This window comes from Homo sapiens, chromosome 21 (assembly GCF_000001405.40).
Source record: "Homo sapiens chromosome 21, GRCh38.p14 Primary Assembly".
Lineage (NCBI taxonomy): Eukaryota > Metazoa > Chordata > Mammalia > Primates > Hominidae > Homo > Homo sapiens.
Genome location: NC_000021.9, coordinates 14,089,844 through 14,108,558, shown reverse-complemented (window position 1 = coordinate 14,108,558; position 18,715 = coordinate 14,089,844). Strand labels below are relative to the sequence as shown.

Below are 18,715 nucleotides of genomic sequence, written 5' to 3'. Positions count from 1 at the left end.
ATATACTTATTTAATCATCTACTTGGCATCTTTTTTTAGTCCTTTGTAAATAATGGCTTTGCTTCTATGGAGTACAATAAATAACCTATGGTCAAATACTGGTGCCATTACCTATTAATGATGTGATCTTGAGTAAGTTAATTTACCTCACCATATCTCAGTTGCCCAAGTAATTTTTGTGAAAATTGCTTTTAATAAAGTATTTTGAGCAGTGTTTGTTCATAATGACAATAATAAGAAGATAGCTAACTCTTATGTATATCACTGTGTTCCTGGAACAGTTTAAATGCTTTATACATATTAATTTATTTAATCCTTATGAAAACCATATGCAGCTAGCCATATTATCTCTGCAGATGAAGAAGCCAAGAGATAGAGGCCAAATAACACGTCCAGAATAATGCACAGGACCAGAATTCAAAACTAAGATGTCTGGGTCCCTGTTCTTAACTCCTATGTTGAATGAATCCCCTAAGTTCAGTATGTGTTATCTGTTTACTCGATTTACAAATGATCACATTCAAAATCATAATCTAAATGTTCTTAGCATTCTCTAATTCCCCTGTTCAGTCCAGCAATTTCTAGTGTTGAGCTCTCTCTCACTTGTGTCTGAATACCCCAAGGATTTATGTGTGTTTCTAACACACTCTGCCAACCACAGTCACAGCCTTTGTGCCTTTGTTTGCCTGTTGAATTAGTTTGCTTGAGCTGCCATAACAAAATACCACAAACTAGGTGGCTTAAGCAGCACAAATTTATTTTCCCACAATTCTGGAGGCCAGAAGTCCAAGTCAAGGTGTCAGCAGGCTTGGTTTCTCATTGACATGGTTTGGCTCTATGTCCCCACCCAAATCTCATCTTGAATTGTAATCCTCATGTGTCAAGGGAGGAACCTGGTGAGAGGTGATTGCATTATGGGGGCTGTTTCTCCCATACTGTTCTTGTGATAGTGAGTGAGTCTCATACAATCTGATGGTTTTAAAAGTGACAGTTTTCCTGTGCTCACACTTCACACTTCTGTCTCCTGCCACTTGTGAAAAAGGTGCCTGCTTCCCCTTCTGCCATGATTCTAAGTTTCCTGAGGCCTCCTCATATGAGTCAATTAAACCTCTTTCCTTTATAAATTACCAGTCTTGGGTATTTCTTTATAGCAGTGTGATAATGACTAACATGCTTATGAAGCCCTTCTTTTATCCTTGCAGATGGCTGCCCTATTGCTGTAACCTCACATGGTCTTTCCTCTGTATATGCACATCCCTGGTGTCTCAGTATGTCTAAATTTCCTCTTCTTTTAAGGGGACCATTCAGATTAGATTAGGGCCCACTCTAGCAGTCTCATTTTGACTTCATTACCCACTGAAGGGCCCTATCTCCAAGTATAGTCACATTCTGAGGAACTAGGGGTTAGAGTTTTAAAATATGAATTTTTGTGCGTACACAATTTATAACACTTGCCATGACCTGATAGTATCATAATGATGTACTTTGATAATAATCCACTTGAAGGTGAATTGGGGCCATTGTTGGTGCTCACCTGGAAGTAGGTGAAGGTGCTTCAGATATTAGATACATGTTCTACGCAAAAACGCAAACACTCTACTTTTTCCCTAGGGATTTAAGCAGTGCTGCCTGTAGCTCTACTGTCTGACAGATTTTCATTAAAACAGTTACTTCAGTTTACACTGCAGCCCTTCCCTCCACAGTCCTTTCTCCAATCCACAGAGATACTGTTTCTCTCTTCTCCACCCCTTGGGCATCTGCTCACAATCTTCATGCATTCTTTAACACACACACACACACACACACACACACACAACCTCATGCTATTTTACTTTTCTAATGCCCATTAATTTTTCATATATCCCCAGAAGCTTTTCAATCTCAGCTTGTGATATTAATGACACCTATGAAATGCACTGCAAACGTTACCAAGAGCAGAAATTTTGTTACTGTCTTCCTGATTGCTTAGGGCCTCTGGGTAACAGACAAGGCAGTAGCCAACCGTTTCATGTACATTAGAACCCATTAACCTCCTAATGAACCTTCCTTGCCAGAGGTGATAACAGTCTTCCAGAATAACTCAAAGATGTAAACTTGTGAAATGTGTACATGTTACCACACTGCAATACCTTAGACCACATTGCACATGTGTGTGAATGAGTGTGTGTGTGAGTGTGTAATGTATATTTTGTCTGTTTCTATATATAATGTATATTTTATCTATATATTATAAATAATATATACATAATACATAGCATATATAAAGATAATACACACACATACACTACATGACTGAAAACATGTATTTTTATATATATATATATATATATATATATATATATATATATATATATTTTTTTTTTTTTTTTTTTTTTTTTTTTTTTTTTTTTGAGATGGAGTCTCACACTGTCACCCAGGCTGGAGTGCAGTGGCACGATCTCAGCTCACTGCTACCTCCACCTCCCAGGTTGAAGCAGTTCTCCTGCCTCAGCCTCCTGAGTAGCTGGGATTACAGGCGCCCACCACCATGCCTGGCTTTTTTTTTTTTTTTTTTTTTTGTATTTTTAGTGGAGACGGAGTTTCACTATGTTGGCCAGGCTAGTCTCAAACTCATGATCTTGTGATCCATCTGCCTTGGCCTCTCAAAGTGCTGGGATTACAAGCATGAGCCACCGTGCCAGGCCTGTATTATATTTTTATTAGTGTTTAATTTACTGGTGCCCACAAGAAAAAAAAAGAAAATACATTTTACAAGTAAAATCAAAGCACTAGTTGTTAATCCCTGCATCTAGTCTTTTTTCAAAATGAGGGCTGGTGTAATTAAATAACAAACTGGGCTGGGCGCAGTGGCTCATGCCTGTCATCCCAGCACTTTGGGAGGCCGGCCGAGGTGAGCTGACCACTTGAGGCCAAGAGTTGAAGACCAGCCTGGCCAACATGGCAAAACCCCATCTCTACTAAAAATACAAAAAATTAGCTGGACATCATGGCACGTGCCTGTATTTCCAACTACTAGGGAGGCTGTGGTGGGAGAATCACTTGAACCCGGGAGGCAGAGCTGGCAGTGAGCTAAGCTCAGGCCACTGCACTCCAGCCAGGGAGATAAAGCAAGATCCTGTCTCAAAAATAAATAAATAAATAAGTAACATTAGCATGAAAATAATTTTTGTATTTTTCTCTATTGTTTTTCCCATCAGGTTTCAATCTTTATTTAGAAACTTTCACTTTTTTAAAGATCTATTCCACACTCTTCTGCCAAACTCTCACTGCCAAAACCTTAGCTTTCTGAAGTTTTTTATTTTAGTCCCTGACTCCTGAATAGCACCTCTGAACCAACCTAGGGCCTAAAGAAACTTGCTAAACTGAAGGGAGTAATCGAGGCCTGGCTGACTTTTTCACCTGCTGATTGTAGAGCCACAGTGCCCTGAATGAACATAGACAGTTGTTGTAACCGAGTGAGTTACAGAGAAACGCCACATGCTGAGATGAATTCAGGAGTCCTTTATTAGCCGGTGACCAAGAGATGGCTAGTACTTAAAATTCTCTTGGCCCCAAAGAAGGTGTTAGATTTTCTTATGTACTTTGGTTTAGAAAGGGGAGGTGGGGGGAGTCTAGTTAAAACAATCTTACAGAAGTAAAGCAGGCAAAAAGTTAAAAGGATAAATGGTTACAGGAAAACAAACAGTTCCAGGTGCAGGGGCTTTAAATCCATTACAAGGTGATAGACGCAGGGCTTTGGGTGTTATCAACTGGACACAAACACAGGGGCTCTGGGTGCTATCAACTGGGCGAATTCCTAGGAACTGCGGACATAGCTTGCCACAGTATCTTATTAGTTAATTGCGTCCTTGGATGTGCTGGGAGACTGCTTGCACAAGTTAAGTCCTTGAGGAAGGGGGTGGGTAAGGGGCTGTAAGTGAAGGAGCCAAGATGGAGTCTGTCTGGCTCTCTCAGCTAAGGGAAAGTCAATTCAGGTTAAAACAAGGTTGGGTATCACACAGTAACCAGGAAGCTGTGATGGCAGGCCTTGGGTGAGATCAAGCACTCTGCTGGATTCAGGTCTGACCCAGTGCAGTCATAGTGGTCATGGCCACAGAGATGTTTGGGTCACTCCACTTCACTTTCATGTGTCTCAGAACACACACACACAGATAAACACACACACAGACTCCATTTGTTTGGGAGAAAGTAAAAGAAGAAGAGTCCCTGCCAGATAATTCAGAAAATTCTGCAAGACCATGTTGTCCAAGACCATCAAGGTAGTACCTCTGTGAGCCTGCAAGAACCACAGTGTTACTGGGCTTGAGATGTCCCATAAAGTAGAAAGAGCTTAGATCACAACACCCAAGTCGTTTTGAATATCTCTAAAGCCTTCCTAGGAACAATGGCTACAAACAAACCCAGGCAGTGTTGACTACAATAAATATTAAAATCTTCAATGGTGAGACACCCACAAAGATCTACTGGCATCAACAAATCATTAAAAGAAATACTTAATCAAACAAACTAAAAAAGGAGCCAGGGACCAATCCTGGAGAAACAAAAATGTGTCATTTTTCTGAAAGAGAATTCTAAATAGCTGTATTAGAGAAACAAAGAAATTCAAAATAACAAAAAAAATTCAAAATTCTATCAGATACCTTTAACAAGCAGATTAAAATAATTGTATTTATTTATTTACCTCTTTATTTATTTAGACAGAGGTTCACTTTTTTTGCCCAGGCTGGAGTGCAGTGGTGCGATCTTGGCTCACTGCAGCCTCTGCCTCCTGGCTTCCAGTGATTCTCCTGCCTCATCCTCCAGAGTAGCTGGGATTACAGGAGCCCTCCACCACACCTGCCTAATTTTGTGTTTGTAAAAGAGATGGGGTTTCACCATATTGACCAGGCTGTTTTCAAACTCCTGACCTCTGGTGATCCACCCACCTCAGCCTCCCAAATTGCTGAGATTACAGGCGTGAGACACCATGCCCAGCCTATCATTTGCTTTTCTTTCTTCCTTTGTTTCTTTAACAAGCATGGCTACTTCTACCTGGGTTTTAAAAATTGTGTAAAAGAAAAATAAATCTTGGGGCTCCAAATCACTAAGCTAAAGGGAAAAGTCAAGCTGGGAACTGCTTAGGGCCATCCTGCCTCCCATTCTATTCAAAGTCACTCCTCTGCTCACAGAGATAAATGCATATTTAATTTCCTCCTTTGGGAAGGGTAATCAGAAACTCAAAAGAATGCAACCATTTGTCTCTCAACTACCTATGTCCCAGAAGTGCCCTCCTTGCTTTGAGAATTCCCGCCTTTGCTTCAAGTTGTCCCGCCTTTGCAGACTGACCCAATGTTAATCTTGTACACATTGATTGATGTCTTCTGTATTCCTAGAATGTATAAAACCAAACTGCTCTGATGACCTTGGGCACACGTCCTCAGAACTTACTGAGGCTGTGTCACGGGTGTGCGTCCTCAATCTTGGCCAGATAAACTTTCTAAATTCACTGAGACCTATCTCAAGTTATCAGGGTTCACAATGGATAGTGCATTATAGCTTCACCCTATGACTTCTCATTAACAAGAACTATCCTGAATCTCTCCAGATGCAGCAAAACCAGGTATATGTAAACTGTATGAAACTAAATGGCACTTCCTAGAAGTATATGAATGAATGCTGAGGAAAAACCACGGACCGCCCACCTTTCAAAGAAGCAATAACACTGTAAATTCTGTGTCATTTTCAGAGTCAGCTTGTTTCCAGAGTCGTCCCCACTAAACTTGAAAATATTCCAGGGTGAGCTATTGTCCCTCCAGCCTTTGGCCCTCCCCCTTCCTTCCCCTGCGCCCTCCCCTCAACCGTTGCAGTGATCACATTCTCTGATTCTGCAAAAGCAGATGGGAGCCCTTCTTTTTTTTTCTTTTTTTGAGATGGAGTCTTGCTCAGCTGCCCAAGCTGGAGTGTAATGGCGCAATCTCTGCTCACTGCAACCTCAACCTCCCGGGTTCCAGCTATTCTCCTGCCTCAGCCCCCCGAGTAGCTGGGATTACAGGCATGCGCCACCACACCCAGCTGATTGTATTTTTAGTAGAGACAGGGTTTCACCATTTTGGCCAGGCTGGTCTCAGGTGAACGGCCCTTCTTGGCCTCCCAAAGTGCTGGGATTACAGGCATGAGCCAACGCGCCTGGCCGGAGAACAATGGTTTGTAAATAATTTTTTTGAGTCATGAACTCCTTTGAGAATATTACAAAAGTTAGGAGCTCTCTCTCCAGTAAAATGCACACACACATACAGAATGTTCCCAGAGCCTCTGAAGCCCCACCATGCATGCCTGGCTAAGAATCCCTTGTCTATAGAATGTATTCTACTTATAGTGCTATATGTCACAAAACAAGTTGCCCCATCACGACCTGTTGAAATGCACATTTGGAATCTTGCAGTCCCATAACCTCAAGTGTTTGGTCAAGAAACACAGATTCCTCCCATAGCTATGTGGCAAAAACTTCGCATAGTACACCAGGGCCTCCTTCTGGAATGTTTATGATTCCTCTATACTCTTGAGCATGTACACAACAATCTGAGATGCGAAAGGCACAGAACATGGTCTTATTCTGAGCAAATCAACAGCTTTCAGAAGCTGCAGGGAAATGAAGCATCAGAGAAAGTGAAAATTGTCCCTAACAATAGCTCAGAAAATAGGGCTGATTAGGCAAACTGTATCCCGGAGTTTCAGTGGATCCCAGACATTATGGATCACCAACCACTGTTACCAACCTCCTAGGAGCATTCTGCTCACCTGTTTGGCAGTCAAACTCAATAGAACAGATTTTAGAGTCAGGAAGGCCTGGATTTAAATGCTGACTTTCTTTGCCATATAAATCTGTGGAGGCTGCTTAGCTTCTCTGATCCTTGGTTACCTCATCTGTAAAATGGGAATAACAAAAGAATCTACCTCATAGGATTATTGTGAACATTAAATGAAATAAGGCATGTAAAGTGCTCAGCACCCTACTCAGCGAGTGGGAAGTACTCAGTAATATGGCTGTTACTACGGACAGTAGCAGAGGGCAATAACAGTGTAACTCCGGAGTTAGGAAAACTCGATTCCAGGCTGGATGCAGTGGCTCACACCTGTAATCCCAGCACTTTGGGAGGCCAAGGTGGATGGTGGATTGCTTGAACCCAGCAGTTCAAGACCAGCCAGGACAACATAATGAAACCCTGTCTCTACAAAAAATACAAAAATTAGCCAGGTGTGGTGGTGCATGCCTGTGATCCCAGCTACTCAGTAGGCTGAGGTGGGAGGATCGCTTGAGCCCAGGAGGTTGAAGCTAAAGTGAGCTGTGATTGCACCACCATGCTCCAACCTGGGCGACATGGCAAGGCCCTGTCTCCAAAATAAAAAATAAACAAAAAACCCTTGATTCTAGATTTCGACTTCAATTACTTGCTGGTTTAACTTTGTACTGAACTCTCCCATTTTTAGTTTCCTCAACTGAAGCACAGGGTTAACCCTTACTTCAAAGTGTAGTTCAGCAAGGCACAGTGGTTCATGCCTGTAATCTCAGCACTTTGGAAGGTCAAGGTGGGCATATCACTTGAGGTCAGGAGTTCAAGACCAGCCTGGCCAACATGGTGAAACCCTGTCTCTACTAAAAATACAAAAATTAGCCGGGTGTGGTGGCACATGCCTGTAGTCCCAGCTACTTGGGATGCTGAAGCAGGAGAATTGCTTAAACCTGGGGGGCAGAGGTTGCAGTGAGCCGAGATCACACCACTGCACTGCCACCTGGGTGACAGAGTGAGATTCTGTCACAAAAAACAACAAACCCCGCCCTACCCCCCCCCCCAAAAAAATGAAGTGAAGTTCAATGAGCTAATAATGCATGTACTATATGTGCTTAGACATGTCTGGTACATATTAAATACTCAGTAGATAGTGGCAATAAAGATGATGATGGTACTAATATTAGTTAATACTTACAAAGCTCTTACTAAGTGCCAGGAACTGTTCTAAGCACTTTTCATGTATTATTTTTTATTTAGTTGTCACAACAAATAAGGTAAGTCCAATTATTATCTTTGGATGAGGCCTGCAAAACTCAAATAAATTGTGCTAGATCACAGAGCTGGTAAAGATTGTTTTTTTTTTTTTTTTGAGGCAGGGTCTTGCTCTGTTGCCCAGGCTGGAGTGCTGTGGCATGATCACAGCTCATCACAACCTCAACCTCCTGGGATCAAGTGATCCTTCTGCCTCAGCCTCCTCAGTAGCTGGAATTACAGGTGTGTGCCACCATGCCCAGCTAATTTTTGAATTTTTTGTAGAGATGGTATCTCACTATGTTGCTCAGACTGGTCTCAAACTTCTGAGCTCAAGCGATCCTCCCACCTTTGCCTCCCAAAGTGCTTGGATTACAAATGTGAGCTAACATGCCTGACAGAATTTCAATCTAGATAGAGCTTGAGACCATGACCTAAACCACTGTTTTCTTGAGAATAATGTGTCAAAATCAGCCCTGTAAATCAGATTCAAGATCACTTCACTAAGGTTTGAGACACTTCCCATTTCTGGCTGGAGCTCCCCTCCCTGCCCCATCAGTTTTCATGACTTGCAGGGGCTCCACTGTCCCCAAAACAGGCACACTACTAGGGCCACATGCTGTTCTAAGAGAACCAAGACAGCATTCTCCAAATCCTTCTAGATCTGCTGTTAGTCTCAGTCAGCCAATGGCCATTGACTGCTCTAGTATGAGAGAGACACCCCTTCTGCCTGACCACACCAAGAGAAAGCATGCAGGGTTTGCTTGATGATTTCATGAGGGGAACGTACTGGGGTGGAAGAATGTTCCCTGCATGTTTGTTTTGCAACTTCCCAGCTCGGGAAGGCTCCAGTGATAATCATGTGATTAGGGAGACCAGACTGATGGCAGACCCAGGGCCTCCTGCTCTCCTCCAAAAGCCACAAGTCTCCCATTGTCACAGCTCACAGGAAGCCAAGAAGAGCACCAGGGACAGGTGGCAGACATCCCGACATCATGAAAAGGATGGGTAATTGAACATAGCTAGGTTACATTAATCACCCAGGGTCAGAGAACAGAACCAGGAAAGGAGAGAGGGGAGAAATCAGTCCAGCTTTTCTGGTGAGTTGGCACAGGAGCAGTGGCACAAAATAGCTTTATGTGGGGGATTTAGCCCACAAAATCTCTATCAGGGCACCCCTTCCTTGCAAATTGCCCCAAATATACATACAATCTAAATTCAAGGCCAGCCCCAGCCTCCCTTCTGATGAGATTGCTGCCCTGCGCTCCTCCTTTATAGAAATGCTGGCAACACCATGGCTCCTCAGCCACCTATGGTTTAGGGGGAACATAGAGGCTTGCATTTGCACTGCTGGATTCAGAGGCAGGGAGCCCTGAAGCTCAGGGACAGTCTCCTAGATCTAACTATCTGCAGGGATTAACCGGTCATTATCACCTCTGGGATGTGTGTTCTGCAGGCCCTGTTTTCTATTTGTTCCTTGCATCTGACCCTGCCCAGAGAATTGATTTCAGCAACTATAAATTTGGAGGGAGCTGTCCATCTTGGAAAAGATTCTGGAATGGAAACCTGAAAGTGAGGAGGAAACGTGATTCTCAGGAACCAAATACAAATATGTTCAAAAACAAATCATGTCCGACCACTCCCTAGGCTTCTCTGAGTGGGTTACAAGACTACAGGCTCAGGGAGCTTCAGGAGATGTGCACCATCGGGCTTCAGTGAGCAGAATCTGTAGGGAATTGCTGCATGGCCTCTGACCTTGTGCATGATCTAGGTGAAGATACATATTTTTCTCACAATATGACAGACAGCATGAAGCTAGGAGGCAGATACACTTGGGATGACAGAACCAGGAATCCAAAAGATAGTGTAAAATAAGGATAAAGTGCTGACTAAAAGATGAAATTTATGAATAGCAGGAGCAGATATGGTCTTGCACGTTGGTCAACAACATAACAAACAAAACCAACCAAAGGACCCTGCCCAGGTTTAGATTCTTGTCACTGTTACCCTCGGCACAAAACATAATCTTATGAGGTCCCACTTTCTCACTTGTAAAACTGGGATAATAATTGCCCCTACATTATGAAGTTGTTACGAGAATTAAATCAGTTAACATAGGCAAAGTGCTTACTTAACATGGTGATGATGATGTGATGGTGATGCTGATGATGGTGGTGGTGGCAATGATAATGGTGATGGTATGATGATGGTGGTGGTGAAGATGATGGTGGTGATAGTGATGGTGGTGATGGTGATGGGTGATGGTGATGGTGCTGATGATTATGGTGATGGTGGTGATGGTGGTGATAGTGATGGTGATGATTGGTGATGGTGGTGATAGTGATGGTGATGATGGTGATGGTGGTATGATGGTGATAGCGATGGTAATGATGGTGATGGTAATAATGGTAGTGACAGTGATGGTGATGGTGGTGATAGTGTTGATGGTGATGTGATGATGGTGATGGTGATGGTGGTGATGATAGTGTTGATGGTGATGTGATGATGGTGATGGTGATGATGATGGTGGTGATAGTGATGGTGATGGTGATGATGGTGGTGATAGTGATGGTGATGTTGATGATGATGGTGGTGATAGTGATGGTGATGGATGATGATGATGGTGATGGTGATAGATAACACATGGTGCCAATCATAGTGCTTCCCACTAAGCAGTCTCATTCCAGAGCCTATGTTCTTAACCATCTTGCTATACTAAGTCTCATAAGTGTTAAGTATAATTATAATTATTACTGACTAGGAAGAAATGTGGCTGATCCACAGCATGTGTAAAAATGACTTTAAGGATGATGGCTGACAGCAAGTACAACACGAGTCACATGAAGTCTATCTGTAATGAGGTGGTGACAGTCCCAAGCTAATTTTTGCAGCATGGATATCACAAGAGGAGAGGCCTAAAGACACACAGAGCAGGATCCAGAAGGAAATGACTAGGCCCAGGTGTGGTGGCTCATGCCTGTAATCCCAGCACTTTGGGAGGCTAAGGCAGGTGGATCGCCTGAAATCAGAAGTTCGAGACCAGCCTGGTCAACATGGTGAATCCCCATCTCTACCAAAAATACAAAAATTAGCTGGGCATGGTGGTGGGCACCTGCAATCCCAGCTACTTGGGAGGCTGAGGCAGGGGAATTGCTTGAACCTGGGAGGCAGTGGTTGCAGTGAGTTGAGATCATGCCATTGCGCTCCAGCCTGGGTGACAAGAGTGAGACTCCATCTAAAAAAAAAATAAAAATAAAAATAAAAAAGAAGGAAATGACCAGAATAACCAAACTATAGCATAAGAAGAATAGCCAAGACCAGTTATGGTGGCTTATGCCTGTAATTTCAGTATTTTGGGAGCCTGAGGCAGGAGGATCACTTAAGCCCAGGAGTTTGAGACCAGCATGGCAACATGGTGAGACCCTGTCTCTAAAAAAAATTAAAAAATAATAGCCAGAGGACCTGGCAGGTTTTGCCTGAAGAAAATACCTGGGGGACATGCCAGCCACTTTCTAAGGCCTTAAGCCTGCTACGTAGAATCCAAGGCCCAGAAGTAGGCCAGGTGAAGGTGAGCCCTACGTAGGCAGATCTCAGCTCAATACAGGAAGGTCTCTCTGACGTGTTGACCCAAGATGAACAGGAAGCGTCCTGTCCCAGAAGCATCTGAGTGCTAGCATAATCCAGAAGTCTGGGACTCAAACACTGGATAGGGGAGTAGCTATTTTACAGGCTCTAAATATCTCGTCCGAGTGTGGAACTAGGACCATCTGATGACCACGTGCACCACCATGGGGCTTGTTAGACACATAGATCCAGAGGCACCACCCCAGCCATTAAGTCTGAATCTGCATTTTCACAAGTTGCACAGGTGATCTGTGTGCACATGAATGCTGATAAGCACTGATGTGGAGATCATCTGAGGAAGACCCAGGTTTGGGTGGGCTGCTGCTCTGAAAAGCAAGAGTGAGGAGAAACGCTGGGGAAGGAAGAGCACGTGGTGCTAGAATCTTGTCTCCATGGGGATGGCCCAGCTGTGCTTCCAGCCCAGCTGCTCCAATTATGTCTGTTTTTTTATCTAGTCGGGCTCAGAAGAGTCAGTCAAATTTGTATAAGGAGGCCTGAGGTAAAGGGGCTTGTGGGAATGAGTACTCATCTGACACCTCATTAAGCCATCTTGGTAAATCATCTCTAGAATACCTGTTGTTATTTTAGGAAACAACATAAAGAGGATGAAAATTAAAAGTAACAACCTGCGTGGGAATTTCTACTTCCTTCCAGTGGTGGGCAAATAAAGCACCTTGGGAATTTTTGGGTAAGGTAACATTTCTATACATTTTCACAGATCACACAATGTCAAAGCTTGTGTATGCTGCAGGTTTTTTTCCCTTTCCTCTCCTGGTGCTTTGGGTTTGCAGCTTTATTCTATTGCTGGTTTTTTGCCTTCTGGTTTTTTTGTTCGTTTGCTTGTTTTTGTTTTTTTGTTTTGTTTTGTTTTTTTCCTTTCCACTGAGCATTTTCTGATTTTACTTTGACTTGCAATGGAGGAGGGTATTGCTTCTGGATGTTACATGACATCCAAAACATAAAATGGTAAATGAAGCTGCAGGTCATTTTCAGGTGAAAAGGCAATTTTATGCTTCATGGTTAGGACCATGTAAGGCATTTTCATGGCGGAGTATTTTTCATCTTAGATCTCCATCGGGATGGCATCCAGGGATCTGCTGTCCAGCAGAAAGTTCACCTTTCAGTTATCCACTGTCTGTCTGCAGCCTCCTAGCCTTGCTGCTCTCCTGCACAGGTGCAAGGGTGTTCCTGTTAGACCTGCTCCCCTCCTGGGACTGCCAGGGCTCTGTTGTTGCCAAATTCCCCTGGTTTTCAGGGCCTCTTGTCATGCATCTACCCCATCCTTCACGACCCTCACTGCCTACCTGCTAGGCCCACTGTCTAGGACCTGAGCCCCTTAGTAACACTCCTTGATCTGCCTTACACCCTGTCCTCCTGCTCCTCCTCTCTGATGAAACCCCAACTTCGGGTCATCCCACCAACTGCCTTCTCTGCTCCTGACTCCACCCTGCTGAGAGCTGGAGAAAGCCCACAGAAGCACCTGCTGAGGCTGCCACAGTTTCACGGTCTCAAACTTCCCTAGATTCTTGTACTCTCTCACAACCATTTTAGCTGTCCTAAATCAGCTCCTCTCCTCCTCCACAAAAAAAAAAAAAAAGCAAAAAACAAACAAAAAAACCCCCTGTTGTTTGGCCCCACTTCCCTGCCTCACAGAGGAGGCTTCTTTTTGTCACAGCTTGTTGACAGTTCTTTCAATACCAGCCCTTTTGTTAACTCACTGAGGCAGCTTTTAGGATGCTGGGACAGATTCCATGACCCCGTGCTAAAGCAAATGAATTTGAATCTCTAATGTGGAGCCCAGGGTTCCTTTTTATTTACTTTTATTTATTTTTTTAGAGACAGGGTCTTGCTCTGTCACCCAGGCTGGAGTGCAGTGGCGTGATCATAGCTCACTGTAGCCCCTAACTCTCTGGGCTCAAGAGATCCTCCTGCCTCAGCCTCCTGAGCAGCTGGTACTATAGGTGCAAGCCACCATGGCCAGCTATTTTATTTTATTTTATTTTTGAAACAGAGTCTTGCTCTGTTTCTGCATTAAACCTTGAATACTATCTAGGAGGGACCTATCATACAATAAACAGCTCTAGGGTAAACACATTTCATAAGGTCCAATGTCATGTGTTTAACTTTTTTACTGTTATCCAAGTACTTTCTTACCTGTAGTCTTTTTCTTTCTTTCTTTCTTTTTTTTTTTTTTTTTTTTTTAAGACAGGGTCTTGCCGTGTCACCCAGGCTGAGTGCAGTGGCACAATTATAGCTCAATGCAGCCTTGCACTCCTGGGTTCAAGCAATCCTCTGCCTCAGCCTCACAAGTGGCTGGCAATACAGGTGAATGCCACTGGGCCCAGCTAATGTTTTTATTTTTTTCATGGTAGAAATGGGGTCTCTGTATTTCTCAGGTTCTTGAACTCCTGGACTCAATCAATCCTCCTGCATTGGTCTCTCAAAGTTCTGGGATTCAAGGCGTGAACCACCGTGCCCAGCCTAAAAAAAAAATATTTTTTTAATTAGCTGGGCATGGTGGGGTGTGCCTGTGATCCTAGCTACTCAGGAGGCTGAGGTGCGATGACTGCTTGAACCCAGGAGACCAAGGCTGCAGTGAGCTATAATCATGCCACTGCACTCCAGTCTGGATAACAGAGTGAGACCCTGTCTCTAAAAAAATAAAATAATAAATAAAATAATAAAAAGAGAGTACATAGTAGGGCAACCATAGACTATCATTACCTTGGAAGAGAGAAAAAAAGATAAGAAAACCCCCTCTGTGGGGCAAGGTGATGCAGCCAGCTCACACAGGATTTTACACAGAATTAAATTAATTAATTAATTTATTTATTTATTTATTTATTTATTTATTTATTCAGACAGAGTTTCTCCTTGTCTCCCAGGCTGGAGGGCAGTGGCACAATCTCAGCTCACTGCAACTTCCTCTGCCTCCAGGATTCAAGCAATTCTCATGTCTCAACCTCCTGAGTAGCTGGGACTACAGGCACGCGCCACCACACTTGGCTGATTATTTTGTATTTTAATAGAGATGGGGTTTCACCACGTTGCCCAGGCTGGTCTTGAACTCCTGAGCTCAGGTAATCCACCTGTCATGGCCTCCCAAAGTGCTGGGATTACAGGCGTGAGCCACCATGCCCAGCCTTGGATTTTACATAGAAGTTAAAGAGCTCATGATCCCCTTGAAGTTCTTTCATCATCTTCCCAGACATACAAGAAGCCTAGTTAAGAACATCTGGGTTAGAGGTTATATGCAGTCTTTGAATCAGGGTGTAAGAAATGGACAGGACCTCAGAGTTCAATGAATATAATCCTCATAAAGTCAGATTTTACAGATTTAGTCAATGAGGCCCAGAGAGTTTTCATGGCTAACTCATAGTGAAAGGTGACAGTGTGCTGGCAGCCCTCGCAGCCCTGGCTCACTCTCGGTGCCTCCTCAGCCTCGGCGCCTACTCTGGCCACGCTTGAGGAGCGCTTCAGCCTGCTGCTGCACTGTGGGAGCCCCTTTCTTGGCTGGCCGAGGATGGCACTGGCTCCCTCAGCTTGCGGAGAGGTGTGGAGGGAGAGGCACGGGCGGGAACCAGGGCTGTGCAAGGCACTTGTGGGCCAGTGAGAGTTCCAGGGGGGTGTGGGCTAGGCAGGCCCCACACTCAGAGCAGCCGCTGGCCTGGCTGGCCCCGGGCAGTGATATGCTTAGCACAAGGGCCAGCAGCTGTGGAGGGTGCACCGGGTCCCCCAGCAATGCCGGCCCACTGGTGCTGTGCTCAATTTCTCCCCGGACCTTAGCTGCCTCCCTGTGGGGCGGGGCTTGGGACCTGCAGCCTGCCATGCCTGAGTCTCCCCCACTGCGCCATGGGCTCCTGTGTGGCCTGAGCCTCCCCAACGAGTGCCACCCCCTGCTCCATGGCACCTGGTCCCGTCAACAGCCCAAGGGCTGAGGAGTGCGGGCGGGTGCATGGCAAGGGACTGGCAGGCAGCTCCACCTGTGGCCCCTGTGCGAGATCCACTGGGTGAAGCCAGCTGGGCTCCTGAGTCTAGTGGGGACTTGGGGAACCTTTATGTCTAGCTAAGGGATTGTAAATACACCAATCAGCACTCTGTATCTAGCTCAAGGTTTGTAAATACACCAATCAGCACCCTGTGTCTAGCTCAGTGTGAATTCACCAATTGGCATTCTGTATCTAGTTAATCTGGTGGGGACTTGGAGAATCTTTATGTCTAGCTAAGGGATTGTGAATGCACCAATTGGCACTCTGTATCCAGCTCAAGGTTTGTAAATGCACCAATCAGCACTCTGTGTCTAGCTCAGGGTTTGTAAATACACCAATCAACACTCTGTATCTAGCTAATCTAGTGGGGAAGTGGAGAATTTTGTGTCTAGCTCAGGGATTGTAAATGCACCAGTCAGCACCGTGTCAAAATGGACCAATCAGCTCTCCGTAAAACAGACCAATTGGCCCTTTGTAAAATGGACCAATCAGCAGCATGTGGGTGGGGCCGGATAAGAGAATAAAAGCAGGCTGCCCGAGCCAGCAGTGGCAACCCGCTGGGGTCCCCTTCCACACCGTGGAAGCTTTGTTCTTTCGGTCTTTGCAATAAATCTTGCTGCTGCTCACTCTTTGGGTCCACACCGTCTCTATGAGCTGTAACACTCACCGCGAAGGTCTGCAGCTTCTCTCCTGAGGCCAGCGAGACCATGAACCCACCAGGAGGAATGAACAACTCCAGATGGGAGGAACAAACAACTCCAGATGCCCCACCTTAAGAACTGTAACACTCACTGAGAGTGTCCACCGCTTCATTCTTGAAGTCAGTGAGACCAAGAACCCATCAATTCTGGACACAATAGCATAGCTGGTGGAGACCTATATCTTGGTTTTCTGAATCCCAGTTCTTACACAGTGTTGTGTTAACATACTGTGTTTAAAAGAAATGTAAAGAAGGAGAGAGGACTGCGGAGAGACTGGCTGGGGGCAAAAAAAACAATAGTTATTCCTAGGATGTGTAGGTTGGCTATTACTCAGCTTCTTTTTTGTGTTCAGCATAGATTAGTTTTCTAGCTTCAACCCAAAGAGACCAAGCCTGAAGCTCCCCTCTGGCTCCTTACTTTGGATCTGTGACTAAATCCTGATGGATTGTCTGAGCAAGATCTGTGGAAAGGCAGATAGTGGGGCCTGGGCACATCATGAGTTCTAAATGGCTGATGTCATTACAAAAACCATAAGCAAAAAAGAATCTACTGTTTCCAGGAAGTGGGGGGCAAGTTTCTAAGGAGAATATATGAGTCTTGAGGAAGGAGGGTAAGGGTTATGTAGCAAAGAAGAGGTTATTGGGTGGTCCCTGTAGGCTGGGGTTTGGAGAGGGGTGCACAGCAGGGCAGGGTGTGACTGAGGCATGCTCAGAGATCTTTTTTTTGTTTGTTTTTTGACCAATGAAATGTTCAATTTTTTTTAGTTTTAAAATTTTTAAGTTTTATTTTTTTGATCAGTGAATTGAGAGATGGTTTTGGGGATGCCTGGGAGCCATCTAAGCTATTAAGCTGGAGATTATCAAAGTAAGATTTGCATTTTAGATAGATGCTTTTACATGGAAGATAGATCTAAGATTTTGTTTTTCAGTCAAGTGTTAGAGTGCACTTGTCCAGATTATGAATCATTCATTCATTGATCCAACTTTTCGAAGCTCATAATATAAGCCAGGCACTGATCTAGACAAGAAAAGATACTCTAAAGCAGCACAGTGACAATGGAGATGGAGTTATATAACCAACAATACACACTGAGGAGACAGATTTGAGAAATACTTAGGAGTTAAAAATCAGTAGGACCTGATGACTAATGGGGGCAGTGGAGAGTTTAATGAAAAGAATAAGGATATTGACAGATGCGTGAAACAAATATGTCCAATATTTTAGAATTATATAATAAATTTAAAGAAATTTTCTGCCAGGAGCCCCAGAAAGATTAAAACTCAAATGCTAATACATGAAGATCAAAACAGCTTTCATTTGCAACATCTTTGAATGAGGAGAGTACTTTGGACTTTGTTATTTCTCCAAGGCAGAGATACAGACCTGTCCAAGGGAGGTAATTATATCACCTACCAAATTGTAGGTTTAACCGAGAGGGGTTGAAATAAAAAGAACAAAAGTCTTCCTGGGCCTCTCTCAACAGCCTCATGGTAAGCCATCGCTACCAGAATTCTAATTTTGTCAAAATGGGGTTGCTTTCATGTAATTTTAGAGTAAGCTTTTAAAAACTGACAGCAGCAAGAACAGCAAGTGAACACAGATGGGCTGGGGGGCAGAGTGAATTAGGTGAAGTTTACAAGAATAAAAAAGAAGAGAGGATTTTACTAATGCTATTTTCAAAGGCAAAAGACCTAGTCAAAGCACTTATTTTTGCTTTCTTAATTCCTTATCTACTACTACAAATAAAGAGCAGCAAAATTAAAAGGAAAACTAAAAGCTATGTGCTGTAAATGCCTTTAAAGACACCTCCTTAGTAGTTCACTGTGTTGTATACATCATAATGTCTTTCTGGGCAGGCTGCCCAGCTCACTTTCTAACCTCACAGTTCTGTGAGATGAAAAGTGAAATGTAATATTTACAATCCTGGGAATGAATTAATCCCTGGCAAAATAGAAAGATTTGATTTTTTCATCTGCTCTCATCTAGCTGGCTTAGTACCTAAGCAGGGTACCAGGGATCTGTTTCTATTTGTCACCACAGGGCAGGAACTAGAATCAGGTCCTGAAGCTAAATGCCTGACATGTCTGAGACAAGCAAAAACTGACAGAATTCATCACCACTAGACCAGCCTTACAAGAAATGCTCAACAGAGTCCCACATCTGGAAGTGAAATGATAGTTACTATCAAGAAAGCACGAAAAAAGTATAAAACTCACTGGTACAGCACATACACAAAGGAGAAAGAGAAAAGAAATTTTACCACTACAGAAAACCACCAAATTACAAGGATGAACAATAAGAGGGGAAGAAAGGAACAAAGGATATATTTAAAAAACAGAAAATAATTAACAAAATGACAGAAGCCCTCACCTATCAGTAA

General features: G+C 43.8%; 1 pseudogene; it reads right to left on the bottom strand.

The window, feature by feature from the left end:
• Nucleotides 1-18,715, bottom strand: part of ERLEC1P1 (endoplasmic reticulum lectin 1 pseudogene 1) — a 65,494-nt pseudogene that overhangs the window by 35,909 nt on the left and 10,870 nt on the right.